The following is a 16,413-nucleotide window of genomic DNA, read 5'->3' on the forward strand; positions in this document are numbered from 1 at the left end:
CTGTGGTCTTCATCATCTTTCACAGTTTCCTATGGTACTTGATAATTCAATACTTAAAAGACCTCAAGGGAGCCCGACCTCATAACTCTGCCGTGTTCCCTGCCTGGAGATGCAACAGAATAGTGTGTTACCTTGGTGACCACTCTAGAGGAAGTCAGCATTATCCAGAGGCAAGCACCATCAACACCTATGATGACATGGAGGAGAAGCAGGAATTCACCAGGGAGGGCTCTTTTCTATTTTCTAATTGATGTTTTTTCTCTTCTTTTACTTCTCATTGACAAAGGAGAGAATACCAAAAAAAAAAAAAAAAAGTAAATTATGCTGTCTCCATGCACCTGTCACCCAGCTACAAAACCCAGCTCTTGGCTCCTGCTTATTTCATCTTTTCTCCCATCTGCTTCTTCCTTTTTCCACAAGTGGAATATTTTGAGGCAAATCTCCACTGTTATACTATTTCATTCATAAATATTTCAGTATGCACCTCAAAAAGATAAGAAATCTGTTTTTAAACACAGTCAAAATATCAGGCCAGGCACAGTGGCTCACCCTTGTAATCCCAACAGTGTGGGAAGATTGCTTGAGCCCAGGAGTTTGAGACCAGCCTGGGCAACACAGTGAGACCCTGTCTCTACAAAGAATAAAAAATTAAAAAATAAAAAAAAGCTGGGCATAGTGGTGTATGTCTGTGGTCACTGCTACTTGGAAGTCTGAAGTGAGAGACTGCTTGAGCCTGGGAGGTCGAGGCTGCAGTGAACTGTGATCACACCACTGAACTCCAGCCTGGGAAACAGAGCAACATCCTGTCTCAAAATTAAAAAAATAAAATAAAATGAAATAAACATAGTTAAAATATCATCATCCTTGCTCCTCCAAGAGAAAGTAATATTTTCTAACATCATCAACTATTCATTCTGTGTTCAAATTTCTCTTACTGTCTAATACATGTTTGTTTGTTTGAGCTGGTTTGAAATTGAATCCAAACCAACCACATATTGCATTTGTTTGACAGTTTTTTATCCCTTTCCATTAAAAGGCCCTCATTCCCTTTTTTCCTGGCATTTTACTTGTTAAGGAAACCAGATCATTGATTTCTGCAGGGTTCATTATATTCTAAGATTTTGTTACTGCCTCTCTATCATGTCATTTAATGCGTTCCTGTAAATTGGTAGTTAGACCTAAGAAGCATGACTTAATTCAAGTTCAAATTTGGGACAGAATATTTTGTAGAGGCACATCATATCCAGTTGTCTCTCTTTCGATGATATTGCTAGCCATCAGTGATCAGTGCCTAGATCTATTATCTCTTGAGAGGTTTAAAATATGGTACTACTTTGTCATCCCTTCATCATATGTTAGCTCACATACACCTGTGGATAGAAATCTATCTTCACCAGCTCTGGTTATTCTGAAGATGTTACTTAGGAAAAGCAAGTTAAATGCTTGATTCTTTCACAAAGTATAAGTTTTTAGAATAATAAGTGGGTTCCCTAGCATCCTCCAAAGTTTAAATATCATTTTGTACTCATGAATTTTAACACGTGATGTGTTTTGATGTGGTTTTAATGGTTTCCTGTTGATGCTCAAATTGTCCCATCTTTGGCCGGTAGGAAGCTTCTTCAAGTTGGCTCCTAAGACTTTTTGATACAAATCCAGTCGTCTTTGTTGATTTCCTTACTCCTTTCTGTAACAAGATAGATATCTAGTCTATTTCCTACTCCAAACTCGGAATCAGACCTTTCACCAAAATCCCCTGGCTTCTTTTAGTGGTATATGGTATTTGGAGATGAGAGTTTGGGTGTAATCTGATTATTAATGCTATAAACTGTGAGAAATACCAATCGTTTAATAAACTCAATATTCTTGATATCACAATTATTTGATGTATACTTAATTTCTATGCTAGACTGTAATATCCACGAGGACGAGAACCACATTGATTTTTGCTCACCATTGTGATCTGAGTGCCACACAAGTGCCTAAACACACACCAACATTTTATAGATGGTTGATTAGTGTACCCCAAAACTCATGTCTGGAACCCCAGAATGTACTTAGTTAAAACGAGGTCACACTGGATTAAGATGGGTACAAAATCCAATGATGATATTCTCATAAGAAAAGGAGAGGACACACAGAGACAAGGGGAATAAGGCCGTGTGGAAATGGAGGCAGAGATTGGAGTTGTGCAGCTCTAACCAAGGAATGCCAGGGATTGCCGGGAACCATAAGAAGCTGCAAAGGCAAGGAAGGGTTTGTTCCTAGAGCCTTCAGAAAGGACAAGGCCTTGCTAATACGTTGATCTCAAACTTCTAGTTTTCCAGAGCTGTGAGACAATGAATTTGTGTTGTTTTAAGTCATCCAATTTCTGGTACTTTGTTATGGGAGCCCTAGGAATGTAATACAGTGACGATTAGATAACATTTTAAACTGCATTGGAAAGTGTGATTTTTTTTTTTTTTTTTTTTTTTTTTTTTTAGATGGAGTCTCGCTCTGTCGCCCAGGCTGGAGTGCAGTGGCACAATCTCGGCTCACTGCAAGCTCTGCCTCCCGGGTTCACGCCATTCTCCTGCCTCAGCCTCCCGAGTAGCTGGGACTACAGGCGCCCGCCACCACGCCCGGCTAATCTTTTGTATTTTTAGTAGAGACGGGATTTCACCGTGTTAGCCAGGGTGGTCTCGATCTCCTGACCTCGTGATCCACCCGCCTCGGCCTCCCAAAGTGCTGGGATTACAGGCGTGAGCCATCACACCCAGCCTGGAAAGTGTGACTGTTTAAAAATCACTGTGTGCCAGGCTTGGTGGCTCACACCTGTAATCCTAGCACTTTGGGAGGCTGAAGCAGGCGGATCACTGCCTCTTCAGTAATGCCTGTTCTTCTACCTCTGGCTTGCTCTTGAATTCTGTCCTGGGCAAAGCCAAGAACTCAGCAGGCTAAGCTGCACTTTGGGGCTTGCCTGCCCTGCATCAATTGTATCATTACACAAAAACATTCCTGCTCCTCATTCATTATTGGAAATACAGTACCCTAAACAGTTAAAGTTTAACATTGAGTAAATCAGTTTCCAGCAGCTAAAAACAAAATATCCTCACCTAAATTGTTTCAAATATAGAATGGATAATATTTAATTTAGAAATTATGCATGGCAACTATAAAGTTTAGTTATGACTTTACGTTAATGCCTTGCTCAGTAAGTGCACAATTGAGAACTGCATACTTCTCTTTGTTGTAAAGGTAGGCCGAAAGTTTTTGGAGTGGATTGTCACTGAAGATCCCACCTCTAACTTTCTCCATGTTTTATATCAGACTTGGCTTGATTGAGAGATTAGCTTCCTGTGCTAGAAACACTACTCAACTTTAAATCATAAGACGTGGATCTGAGCCCTGGCTCTGCTACTCCTAAGCTGTGTAAAACTGGACAGCCCACTTAAGCATGATTAAAAGAGAAAGAAAATGTATATAAGTATCTGAGGTCAGTGCCTGGTACACAGGTGGCATTTAATAAGGATGGGCAAGACATGTAGTTAGATCTACAGTGTAACAATTAGGAGTGAAGGGCTGTGGAGGGAAACAGAACAAGGTTCAAATTCTGATTCTGCCACTTTCTGGTTTAACAGTTGAACGAATTGCTTGGACTCTCTAAGCTTCAGGTTTCTCCTCTGTGGAAAGGAGGAAATAATTCCCACAACCTACAGTTCTCTGCAAATATTAAAAACCATAATCCATAAGAATAATTTAGCATAGTGCTGGCACACTGTACATTCTTAATATTTTTCTGGTTATTATTAATGTTATTTAATGTTTCAGAATAGATGCTTTAACCATTCCAAGTTTTTGGATGTTTTAAATACAAAGATATTGAAATAAAATATTTTTTGGGCTACTTTTTTTAAAATTAAATTCAGAGTAATTCTAAATTATTGTAAGCTAAAACCTGAACTTTAAAACGATAATAATGGTATTAGCAAAAATAAAATGTAAGAAAAGACAATTTTATCACCAGGATTTAATACATAGAAGATGCATTCAACTCATATGCTTTCTCTCAAAGTGTGTTTTATTGGAATACCAAGATAGGTAAAGCACACTCTAATTTATATATATATAAATTATTTTATATTAATATATATATATTCATTTTATCACTTCTGAGGCATTGGGAAATGACCTTCTCCCAGATTATCCCCTGTTCCCTTGTACTCAATAGTCAACCATTAGAGATTTAATCCTTTTACTTAAAAATATATTCCCTGGAAAGAAAACAACAGGCTATCAGATGTGAACATCTAAGTGGAAATGAGGTTATCAGAAGCATTCCAAAAGAGAGCATGGATGCATAAATATTCCAGAAACAGAAATAGCAACTTACGAAAGGGAAAAGAAAGGTGAACAGATGCTGTGAAGATAAACTTCACTTTTTTCCCAGCTAAAACTGTCTCCAAACATTGGCAGAGAAGACCAGGAACTTTTTATAGATAACAACTGCTTTTTCTTTTTTAAATCATATGTGTTCTTGCATTTCTGTAATCACGAGAAACAAATTTAATTTAAAGATGCCAAAGGCTTTAGCCTCCTTTTTTCTTTTATATTGTGTCGGTAATCCAGATATTTCTGATATTTACATTAAAAGAACATGATACTGCTAATAGAAAACTGCCCTATCAAAATGTTTTTATAGTATCTGCTCTGGAGCTATAATTTTACTAAGGGTGACACAATAAAATGACAAACTTTTTAAAAATCACCTATTTTTAGTCTTTTCTTACATATAAAAATACACGTTAGATTGGCAGTTCTGACTTTTGGCAACCAAAAGCACAGCTTCAGAAAAGTATAATTATAAAATCACTCTAAAACTATTTTGTCATGTAGTATGTCAGGTAAATAATGGTTGCTTTAGTGAGAAAGAGAAAAAGAATGAGAGACTATTCGTAATTAAATGAGTCTAAGAGAGAAATGACAACTAAAGGCAATAAGTGATCTTGGACTGAAACTAGAGGTATAAAGGACACTTTAAAAATGGTTGCTTTAATGTGAAAATTATTTTAGTAACTGGTTATGCAAATTTAGGCATTTGTTCAAGTGAAGGTTAAGACTGTGAGAGGGAACGGCTAACACCCCCTGAGAATATTGTTTTTTATTCTCAACAAAGAACAAAGGAGGCATATGTTTCTTTTCTTTTGAGTAATCTAAAACAATTTACTTGTTTTTGGTTTTTTTTTTTTTTTTTTTTTTTGAGATGGAGTCTCACTCTGTTGTCCAGGCTGGATTATGCAGTGGTGCAATCTCAGCTCACTTCAACCTCCACCTCCTGGGTTCAAGTGATTCTCCTGCCTCAGCCTCCAGAGTAGCTGGGACTACAGGCATCTGCCACCACCCCTGGCTAATGTTTCCATTTTCAGTAGAGACAGGGTTTTTTCATGTTAGCCAGGCTGGTCTCAAACTCCCAACCTCAAGTCATTCACCCGCCTTGGCCTCCCAAAGTGCTGGGATTATAGGTGAGAGCCACCTTACCTGGCAACCTCTTTATTTTAAAAGTACTTTTAAAATTTCAAAAGTAAAATGTATTTGTTTTTTAAAAATTCCAGTACACAAAAGTATAAAATAAGAGTGTCCTCACCTTAGCTCCTCTCTCTCAATTGTTTGTCTAGTATTCTTTGCACCTGTGCAGACATTTTATATATAAGGAGGCAACGCAGAGAGAAAGAAATGTTCTTCAAACTTTATGGTCAAGGTTATCAAATACTGACACTGGGGTTTTATAACAGCTAAAGATGGGTCTTTGCAGATGAGACAGTCTTCATAATTGGGGTCTTTTCACCATTTCACATAGAGTTTAACTGAACTGTTTGTATTACGATGAAATCTTTAGCTATTCAAATATGAATCATGGATATTTATAACCCAGTGTTGTCCAATTTAACATTTCATGGTTCTAGCTGCTGAAGCCAGAAAAGAGCATCAGAAGGCAAACCTTTAAATGTCTTCGAAGTTCATTTTAAGTACTGCCCTCAAATTCTGCGTAGGTTTCTAAAGCTTGCTCATTTTCTAAGAGTCTACTACATCTAATGGATGGCAAGAAGTCCAATGAGCCTCTGGATCTGGGTGAGATGAAGAGCCACCTCCTCTCTGTCTGCGGAGAGGGAAGCACTCTGAGAATAGACACTCCTGCAATTTGGCACATTGTTTTCAGCCCTAACTGAAACTAGGAAATGCAGGGAAGTGTGATCATGAAAATAACAGGATCAGAGGAGTGTAGAAATTAGCTGGCTTTTTTCCCCTACAAAATTCATAAAAACAGACTATCTTAAGTGTGGGGTATGATTTCTGGGTTTTATGTAAGAAGAGATGTCTTACAGCTGAAACCATGAAACCAACAAGAGAATATCTTTCACCTCCCTGTGACTCAAGGCACATTGCAAGAATGCTGCGTAGAAGTACATCCAACAAAACTGACCCAAAAGCACAAATGCAGGAGTGGGGCTGGAGATGGTGATTCTTTCTAATTAAAGTCCTGGCTCATGTAGTTGTGGGTATTCTGTGAGACTACATACGAGTATTTAGTGCAATGCCTGCTTTGTGGAAGTGCTCAATACACAGTCATTGGCAGAGTGGTTGTTAAGACTTCATTCTAACTTTCAGAGCATCCTCATGACACTTCATTCATGGAGAGCAGTGTTTCTTTGTTAACAAAAATCCACATAAATCATGGGCAGTTGGGGAAATTTTTCCTTACCATCAGAAACTTTGAAAATGACCTCTCAAGGTAGGAAGGAGACAGATTATATACATGTGTGTTCAACTGTAAATCCCTTGAATGAGTTTTATCTCCCCCCTCACAATGCCCAGCATAATGCGTGACATGACATATAATATGACCTAATAAATGTTGCCATCTAGGGTAGGGGGTAAGAGCATAAACTCTGGAGCCAAGCTGTTTTATTCTTGGCTCTCCTGCGTAGCTATGTCATCATGGACAAGTGACCTAACCTCTTCGTGGTTCAGTATCCTCAACTGTGAGGTAAGGACATGAATAGTTTCTACCTCCTTGGTTTGCCATGAGGAGTAAATGAATTAGGACATGTAGATTGTTCATAATACTGCCTACTACCTTGGTATGCTATCTGTTTGCTATTATTGTTATGATGACGAAGAAGATGATGCCCACTCCCCACCCAAAGCACTAACTTTAGAAATACCTTACAGCTTAAGGACACACCCTCTGCCTCCTTTTCTGGTACTTAGTGACCGTCTAAGAAATAAATATGGTTGTTCTTTTTATATCTGTTAATAGCACGTGATAATAGCTACTAAGTGAAACCCTTTCTACCTGGTTGTAATTTTTTTTTCAAGAAAAAAATTTTTTACAACAATTTTTTTTCAAGATGCCAAGGAAGTTGTCAAGCACCTCTGCTATAATTCTCAACAGGCAAAATTGAGTTTTTTTCTTATTACTTTGTAAGCATCATTTGAAAAATGATTAGAACTCTGATATTTATGCTATATTTAGGAAAATACAACATTTTCTAAATTATTGGGATAACTATATATACTAGTAGTATTGTCTAACCCTACTGGGGCTTTGGAGGGTATCAAATTAGCTTATTCAAGAATAAATAGAGCACAATAAACCTATTCTCTCTAAAAGTCAATATATAATGCTGTTAATTTGCCTTGAGTACTGGATTTGGCAGAATAATTGTGCCAAGAAACTGACACTACAAAAAATCATTATTCTGATAAAAACAGGTAAGAATAAGCCAACGACTGAGCTGCAGAAAGAAAAAATGTGTCAGGAAGTAGTTTCTGCCATGAAATGAGAATCCAAGGCCTGTCATTGGCCTCAGCATGAGCAAGAGCATTCTCTCTTGCAAATTGCCCTCATTGCAGCTGAATGATCATATCTCCACCTGTGCAGCAATTCTTTCACCCAGTCGTTTCCATAAGCAGTGTGAAAACTGCATCTCACATCTCCTTAGTCAACTGTGCTAGTGGATGAAACAACAATGACATCAAACGGAGTGTGTACTAGATTCATTTATCATGTGGACAGGACCATCAACTAATGTCTGGATTATATCCGACCTTATGTTCTAAAATGCTGAAGGAACAGCAGCTCTCTCCTCCGAAAGGCAGTAATTGTTTCCAATTTAAGTTAACAAGTCCCATATAAAGCATCCCTGTTTCTCCTTTGTTTTCTGGAATCTATAACAACAGTTTGAAAGGAATAAGAGTCAAAGGCCAGAGAGAGAAGACTAGGAAGAGATAGAGGCAAAGAAGGGAAGGAGGAGGTGCTGTGGAACCCGGGAGACCTGCTCAGACTACAAGCTTTGCACGTCACAGATGGAACTACAGTGAGCAAATTCCCCTCCCCTCCCCAGCCTCAATTTCCTTAGGAAAAGGGAATGATAAAATCTTTCTACAGTTGTTCTCAGAATTTAATGAAATATTAACCACCTAGCACAATGAATAATAGTATTATTAAAATTATCTTTCAAAATGAATCTTCTTCTTGGCCTTTGCTATGGAACAGAGACCTCATTGTTCCCTTGTGTAAGATAATTGAAGTCAAGCTAGAGTAGACCTTGGAAGGTGAAATGAAGTCATTTGGAGTCCATAGATGACCAGGACACCGCAACCCTGAGTTTACAGGGAGTAAACTCTGGGTTTACTGGACCACTGAGTCTCTATATTGGCAGGGAGATCATCATATGAAATTCAGTCAGGTCAGCCTAGAAGACCCTCCTTATGCTCTCCTATCTTCATCTCCTCTGCTGCTTAATCAAGCAGCATCACAATCTTCACCCCTCTTACCCAAGCCATTGCAAGAAGAGGAAACTATTACATCTAATATTGTGGCTATGGAGGCTTAGCAGGAGACTTACAAAAGAGCTCTTCGTATTGCAAACTTCCTGACAGCTTGGAAGCCATCACCATTACATTTGCAAACCCCTTTTATGGTTACCTTAAATGTAGAGAATGTTAAGAGCCTAGAGAAAGCATGTGCCTACAATGTGAGTACTTGAGGCGTATCCCTATACTTGCATGGGAAGGATGATGTTTTTTATTATTTACTTTGCCAATTGTTATTGTTACAGCATCTGTGCCTAACCTCTGAGTCTGAGGCATGAAATTAATAATCCACAAACCACATAGGGAGAAAAAGGGAAAAAAAGTTTAATTTCCATGTATCCCAAGTTCACATATAAAAAAAAAAAAGAGCAAGAGGGCTAAGTTATAAAGCAGAGGGAAAAAACACACAAAAGTCGGGGTATGTAGTTAGAAGAAAAGAACTCTGAAGTCACACAACACCTTCTTCAGGCGAAGGAGCACAATATGGGATCAGTTCTCTGTCTATCGCCTCTGCCCCAATAATACCCAGGGGACAGAGTTTAGTGCTGTTCTAGGCAGAGAAGAAAAGGCAAGAGAAAGGATTGCTTTTTTCTCTTTCACTTTCTGTCTTGGTTAAGCTCCAAGGAAAAGTGAGCTTCCAGTGGCAGGGAGTGAATGAGACTGCAGAGAGGTTTTGTTTTACTGCTTTAAATTCAGTTTAATAAAATCTCTACCAGAAAACATCCTGACGATGTATCTTCAGCTAAGAGATGGGCAACTCTACCTATTCACCACCAGGCAACCCACCCCTTCTCCAACCCTTCTGTCCTCTATTAAATGCCCAAGAAATACATAAGAAAGGACAGGGAGATGCCATACTGTTCAATCAACGTTTTTTTTTTTTTCAGTTCTTGTGGAAAAATAAACTCACACCAAGAAACATGCCCTAAACACATCTATAATGTACTAGGCTTCATTGCTTTCTTCATTGCATTCCTCGACAACACAGACCCTCATTCTCATTTCATCATCAGGAGATATGGTTGGTACCAAATAATTTCGCACATTACAGTCTTGATTGTATGCTTCATTAAGAGCATAGGGTTTGAACACAGGCAAGAAAATTAAAAAAAATAGATAAATTGAACTTTATAAAATTAAAAATTTTGTGCATCAAAGAACACTATCAACAGAGTGAAGACACAACCCATGGGATGGGAGAAGATATTTATAAATCATGTATCTGATAAGGGATTAATAACCACAATATATAAATAATTTTTACAACTCAGCAACAATAAAACGACTCTCCCATTAAAAAAAAAAAAAGCAAATGACTTAAACAGAACTTTCTCTAAAGAAGATTTACAAATAGTCAATAATCCTTAATGAAATACAAATCAAAACCACAATGAGATACAAATTAGGGTGAAAACTATAAATAAAAACAAAAAAGTCTTGGCCAGAATGTGGAGAAATTACTTGGAATCCTTGTGCATTACTAGTGAGAATATAAAATGCTCCAGCCACCATAAAAAACAGTAGGGCAGTTCCTCAAAAAATTAAACAGAATAACCATAGGGTATAGCAATTCCACTTCGGGGTATATATCCTGCTGTGTTTTGGATGTGGTTCATTTCTGCCAGAACTCATGTTGCAATTTAATTGCCAGTGTAACAGTGATGGGGGATGGAGCCTTTAAGAGGTGATCAGGTCTTTAAGGTAGATTGTCTTTCTTGAAAGACTTGTTTAGTTTTTGAGGAAATGGATTAATTGTCACAGAGTGGATTGTTACAAAAGCAAGCTCGGCTTCCTCAGCTTTCTCGGCTTTTGCCTTTCTTGCATCCTCTCTAGTCCTTTTGCCTCTACCATGTTATGACTGAGTAAAAAGGCCCTCACCAGAAGCCAAGCAGATGCTTGTGCCATGCCCTTGGACTTCCCAGCCTCCATAACTGTAATAAATAAGTTTCTTTTCTTTATAAATTACCCAGTCTATAGTATTCTTTTACAGCAACAGAAAACAGACACATCTAAGAGAATTGAAAGTAGGGACTCAAACAGACATTGAAACACTCATGTTCATAGAGGCATATTATTCATAACAGCCAAAAGGTGGAAGCCACCTATCTATGCCTTAAAAAGGAATGAAGTTCTGATAAATGCTATAACATGGATGAACTCCAGAGACGTGCTAAGTGAAATCAGACAGATGCAAAAGGACAAATAGTATATGATTCCACTTACATGAGGTACTTCGAGTAGTCAAATTCATAGAGACGGAAAGTAGAATGGTGTTTGCCAGGGGCTGGAGGGAAGAGGGAAATTAGGAGTTATTGCATAATAGACACAGTATTTCAATTTGGAAAGATGAGCAAAGTTCTGGAGATAATGGTGATGATGCTTGCAAAACAGTGTGAATGTACTTAATACCATTGAAATCCACACTAAAAATAGTTAAAACGGTATGATATGCATATTTTATTATAAAAAAGTAAGAATTGAATTTTAAAAAGAACATAAGGTATGGAGTCAAAGTTTCAAGGTTGGTAGCCCAGCTACCCTACACACTAATTGTGAAGCAAGTAATTTAACCTCTTTGTGCCTCTGTTTTCTTCTGTAAAATGGGATAATCAGTGTGCCTGTATCATAAGGTTGCTTTGAAGTTTATATGAAATAATGAAAGAAAAATCCTTGTTCATAATGAATGTACAATATGTGTGAATTATTATTGTTGTTATTTTTTTGTATGGATGCTAAACACTCCTTGATGCCATGAAAACAATATCTGTTCCTTTTCTGCTTCTCCCACAGAGAATTTTCTATATATTGCTAAATATTTATTGACGGATTTATGTATTCATACACAAAGGTGAACCTATTGACTCAATATCAGTGGTTGTTTTTCCAACACATAATATAAATTAATATTGATCAATTCATATTCTTGAATAAGTCCCCTTAAACCAAAGATATGCATTTATAGACAGCTGGCTAAAGATGAGCTATTATCTTGAAAAGGACGTAATTCACAGTACTATGTTCCCATGCCAAGGGAATCATAAGATCTTACCCTTATTATTATTGTAACTGACCTATAGAACCAGCCATAGAGTATAAAACCACATAATTGAGACACCACCATCTAAAGAAAGATGCAAGGTAAGTTGAATAGATAAAACCCTTGAGCCCATTAAACAGATAACCTCTTGGATTTTTAAACATCACCAACAATGATTAAGGTGTGAAGGACATAGAAAGCAACACTAATAAACTCTGGCCCTGATGAGGTGTGGAACCCTCATTACATTTAAGGGTAAATGTATTGAGGATGCTGCTAGTTTCAAGTTTTGACAGCATGAAATATTGGGCATTAGCTAATTCTCTTCATTTTAAACCAAACTATTTTTAAATCAATGCCTCTACCCAAAAATTGCTATAATAAATTATTAACATCCATTCTCAAATAAAACCAATTATTTCTTAAATGAACAGCATTTTCACAAGCTTTTCTTAAGACAAATTTTTTTTTTTAAGCCTTGGGTTGATGCTGGCTTCTAAAATCTTCTATTGGAATGAGAGAAAATTCACTTAAGGGATTATTTCTCCAACAGTTTGAGTGACTATTTCCCCCAGATATATTTTTCAGAGCCCATGCCCCAAAGTGTCATAATTCCATTAAATCAGTGCACAGCTGGGCAATTCTTTCTTTGCTCACATTATAGTGATCCCCAGGGAATTTATGTAAATCTATGGAAATTCATTTTAAAGGCAGTGCTTTGAAAGGATGCATCCTCATTAAGTAAACAATTATATCTACAAACAGGCTACAAGCAACATACTGGAGAGCTAAATTAAATTTTCCATCAGGAAAACTAAACCATCCACTTTCACATTTAGGCTTTACCTAAATGCCACCAAAATTGTAAGACAAAGGATTATGAAGTCAAAACAGGTATCAAGGGAAGTGTAACTGAGCCACTGTTGCAGGGCATGGCCTCTAGCCTCCTTTCTGGTCCCACTACCTCATTCCACTTTTGGCAATGCTGTAAAGAAAAGATGGCAGTGTTATAATTTAAGGACTCCTAGGAAAATTTTATCATGTAAGGGTGGAAAGAAATGACCACTTCTACTTCCTACAAAGGGCATTCCAAGTCAACCCCAAGAAACTCTGATAAGACCAGAGAGTCTGAAACATAAAGGATAGGGTCTTGTGTGCCAGAAAGAGGACAAGCTTTATTGTTAGACTTGCCTACATTTCAACTCTAACTCCTTCACTTATTAGCTGAGTGGCCTCAGTTTCATTTGTAAATTGGGGATAATACTACTTCTTGACAGTGTTATAGATTTTTAATAAGGAAAACTACATAAAGTATTTAGTCAGGGGCCTGGAACATGGTTGGCATTCAAATGCCTTTACCTGGACCACAAGGTGAAGAAGGCTGAACAAGATGTGGGCTACAGAAATGAGGAGCTAAGTGGGAGGGAAAGAAACTTCTCTACTTAAAAATGTGGGGTCCTCAAGCAACTTTGTGTCTTCCATCTTAGTAGCTCTATTTATCTTCCCTAATGTTAGAAAAGCAGGACTAAGGCAATCCATGATAACATTGGCTTCAATACCACATCTCTTTCTTCTTAAGCCATTCTAACATTTATTCTTTTTGGCAGAGATCTCCTCACATCCCAAAATTCCGTACTCTATAGAGGTAACATCTTGGTTCTAAAGTCATAATTAAAAGTGAAATTCCCATAACAAATTTACCCTTAAAAACCCCTTTGAAAGGTATAACACTGGAACAGTCTCTCAGTAACGCCACCATAGGCCATTTCCCATCCATTATTGGAACAGATTGCTGATTCTTTGGTTGAGTCCTGGGTGAACCAGCTGGCTTGAGTTTAAGATCTGTATTGTCTCAAAAAATCATATTATATTATATATAAAATCTCTATGTATATAATCTATTATGTATAATAGATTCACATTCCATTTAGCTAGATGCTCATAATCCATGAGTTAAGTGGAACTGAGCCCAACTAAAGAAGCAGACTCCCATCTCCTTGTACACATTGAGTAAAATAATTAGCTTAGATGCTGAAATGTATGTCTGCCTTTGTGTTAGATGTCCATCCCTATTCAATCCCCTTCTGAAAAATGTGAAGGAAATAGCCATGTCTCCTCAGTACAGGCTGAGATATGGGCAGGTGTTTTAGCCTCAGCACCTCAGTAAGCACAGCATAAAGATTTATGTGCTACTATTTTTTATTAAAGAGTGAGTGTAAAAGAAAACAAGGTAGGGAAGAAAGAGAAGCTGATTGGAGAGTGTGTTGCTAAACTAGTTAGCACTAATTTAGCCTTCTTCATGTCATAGAACTTTCCTATGGAAAGCCACATCAACTGTACCTCAAGGCCATAGATAGCTGAGAAGAAAGGGAAAGTATTTATCATTTATCTTATTAGCCATTAGTCCAAAGTTTGTTCCCTGGGACTTAATTCCCTTGAAATTCCAGACCGTGTATTTGTGGGTACTAAGTAAGATTACTCAAACTTCATTTTCAACAGGGGAGTCCTGGATTGAGAGGTAAGAAGCACATGGCATGGCCTTAAAGTAAGGCACTGTCAAGTTCCAAGTGAAATCATTCTAAACCCACACACAGCTGGTTACTGCAGCAGCAGTTGAAACAAAAGAGACATGAAGCTGAAAGACTGTGAATTGGGATATAAGAGGTGTTGGATACAGAATGCAATGATAGACATAGCTCGTTTAGGCTGTAAAGCTTAGCAACTTCATATTTATTCTCAGGGCATAAAAAGAATATTAAATAAAATATTCCAGTAGTAGTAATGACATCATCAGCATTATTATTACTGGCATGTTGATTCCTTCTCTCACCTTTAACTCCTTAAATGCTACCAACACTTAAGTCCCTTAGAGAGTAGCTTTCCTTTCCAGATCAATTCAGCCCTTTTGTCATACCTAGTTAATTGAGAGCTTCTAACCTGGTTTCTCTAATCTTAGTCTCTTCCTAACTGCATTCATATTATTCATAATTGCCATTCTTCTCTAATAGTTTTCATCAAATCATTTACTTTTCTATGAAAAAAGTGATAATTTTAACTTTTTGGATAAATGTAACATTAAATGTTTTCCCTCCCCATCAAGCTAATAATATTAAATACATTTAATACTTTTTAAATAGAAATTCACCCTGAATTCTTCCTTTTCAGAACACAATTTATGGACTTCCAATCTAAAAAGCAGTATTTGATTCCATGTCTTCAACAAATCTGTATTCCTAAAAAATATTAAAATGACCTAAAAAAGGTTAAAGGACCTAATGAAAAATATAATGAAAATAAATGTAATAAAATGTTCTAGATGAAGTAACTAGCAGTTTAGGTATAACTCAAGAGAGAATTAGGAATTTGGCAGATTTCTCTGAAGAAATTACAGAAAGAATAGACAGAAAAAAGAAAATGAAACATGTGGAAGAAAGACAAGTGTACATGAATACTTGAATGAGAAGAGCTCAGACAGGAATACTATAAAGGATGAGTGAGAAGAATATTCAAAGACATTATACTGGAAATTTTTCCAGAATTGATGAAAGTTTCTGGAGAGATACATGAAGGATATCTATGCCTACGCATATTGTAGAAAAATGCAGAATCCCACAACTTAAAGGAAAGTCTTAAACCTAATGAGACAGAAGAGACCATCTATAAAGGAATGACAATTAAAATAAAAGCAGACTTCTCAGTAGAAATCATGGAAGCTAGAAGTGGAATAATTTCTTCAGGAAATTATTTTTTAAATGATTCTTAATCTACTATTTTATATCTAAAAATTTCTTCAAGATTCAGAGTAAATTAAAGATATTTCTAGTATTTTCACATAAAATCTGAGGGACTTACGGAAAGGAAAAGGGTAAGTGAAACAGAAAAATTAACAAGCAGAGGACAAACAGAAAGATTGCAGAAATAAAGAAAAACATGTCACTAATCACAATATTTATATGTATAGACCAAGCTTGTCACTTAAAAAACAAAAAAAAAATTAAAGCAAACCAAACAAATTCAACTATATGCTCTATTTAAGGGACATACATAAAATAAGACAGAAAATGATTTAAATATATGTCCATTCTCACCACAGTTATTCAACACAGTACTGGAAATCTAGAGAGTCTAAGACAAGAGAAAGAAATAAAGGACATCCAAATTGGAAAGGAAGAAGTCAAATTATCCTTGTCTGCAGAAGATATAATCTTATATTAGGAAAAACCTAAAGACTCCACCAAAAACCTGTGAGAACTGATATACAAGTTCAGTAAAGTTGAAGGATACAAAATCAACATACAAAAGTTAGTAGCATTTCTATGTCACAATAGTGAACAATAGAAAAAGAAATCAAAAAAAGTAATCCCAGTTACAACAGTCACACATAAAATTACATACCTAGGAATTAAAGAATTGAAATTGAAAGATCTCTGCAATAATAACAATAATAAAAACTACAAAACACTGATGAAAGAAATTGAAGTGGACCTCAAAAAATGGAAAGATATTGTTAAATGTTCATACTA

The 16,413-nt window shown here is 36.7% G+C and overlaps 1 long non-coding RNA gene across 1 annotated transcript in view; it reads right to left on the bottom strand.

The window, feature by feature from the left end:
- Positions 1-16,413, bottom strand: part of STXBP5-AS1 (STXBP5 antisense RNA 1) — a 363,227-nt gene that overhangs the window by 266,953 nt on the left and 79,861 nt on the right. The window contains exon 4 of the long non-coding RNA NR_034115.1: positions 11,077-11,137. This is a non-coding gene — a long non-coding RNA (STXBP5 antisense RNA 1). The remainder of the gene's footprint in view (positions 1-11,076; positions 11,138-16,413) is intronic.

The sequence above is a fragment of the Homo sapiens genome, chromosome 6 (genome assembly GCF_000001405.40).
Source record: "Homo sapiens chromosome 6, GRCh38.p14 Primary Assembly".
Lineage (NCBI taxonomy): Eukaryota > Metazoa > Chordata > Mammalia > Primates > Hominidae > Homo > Homo sapiens.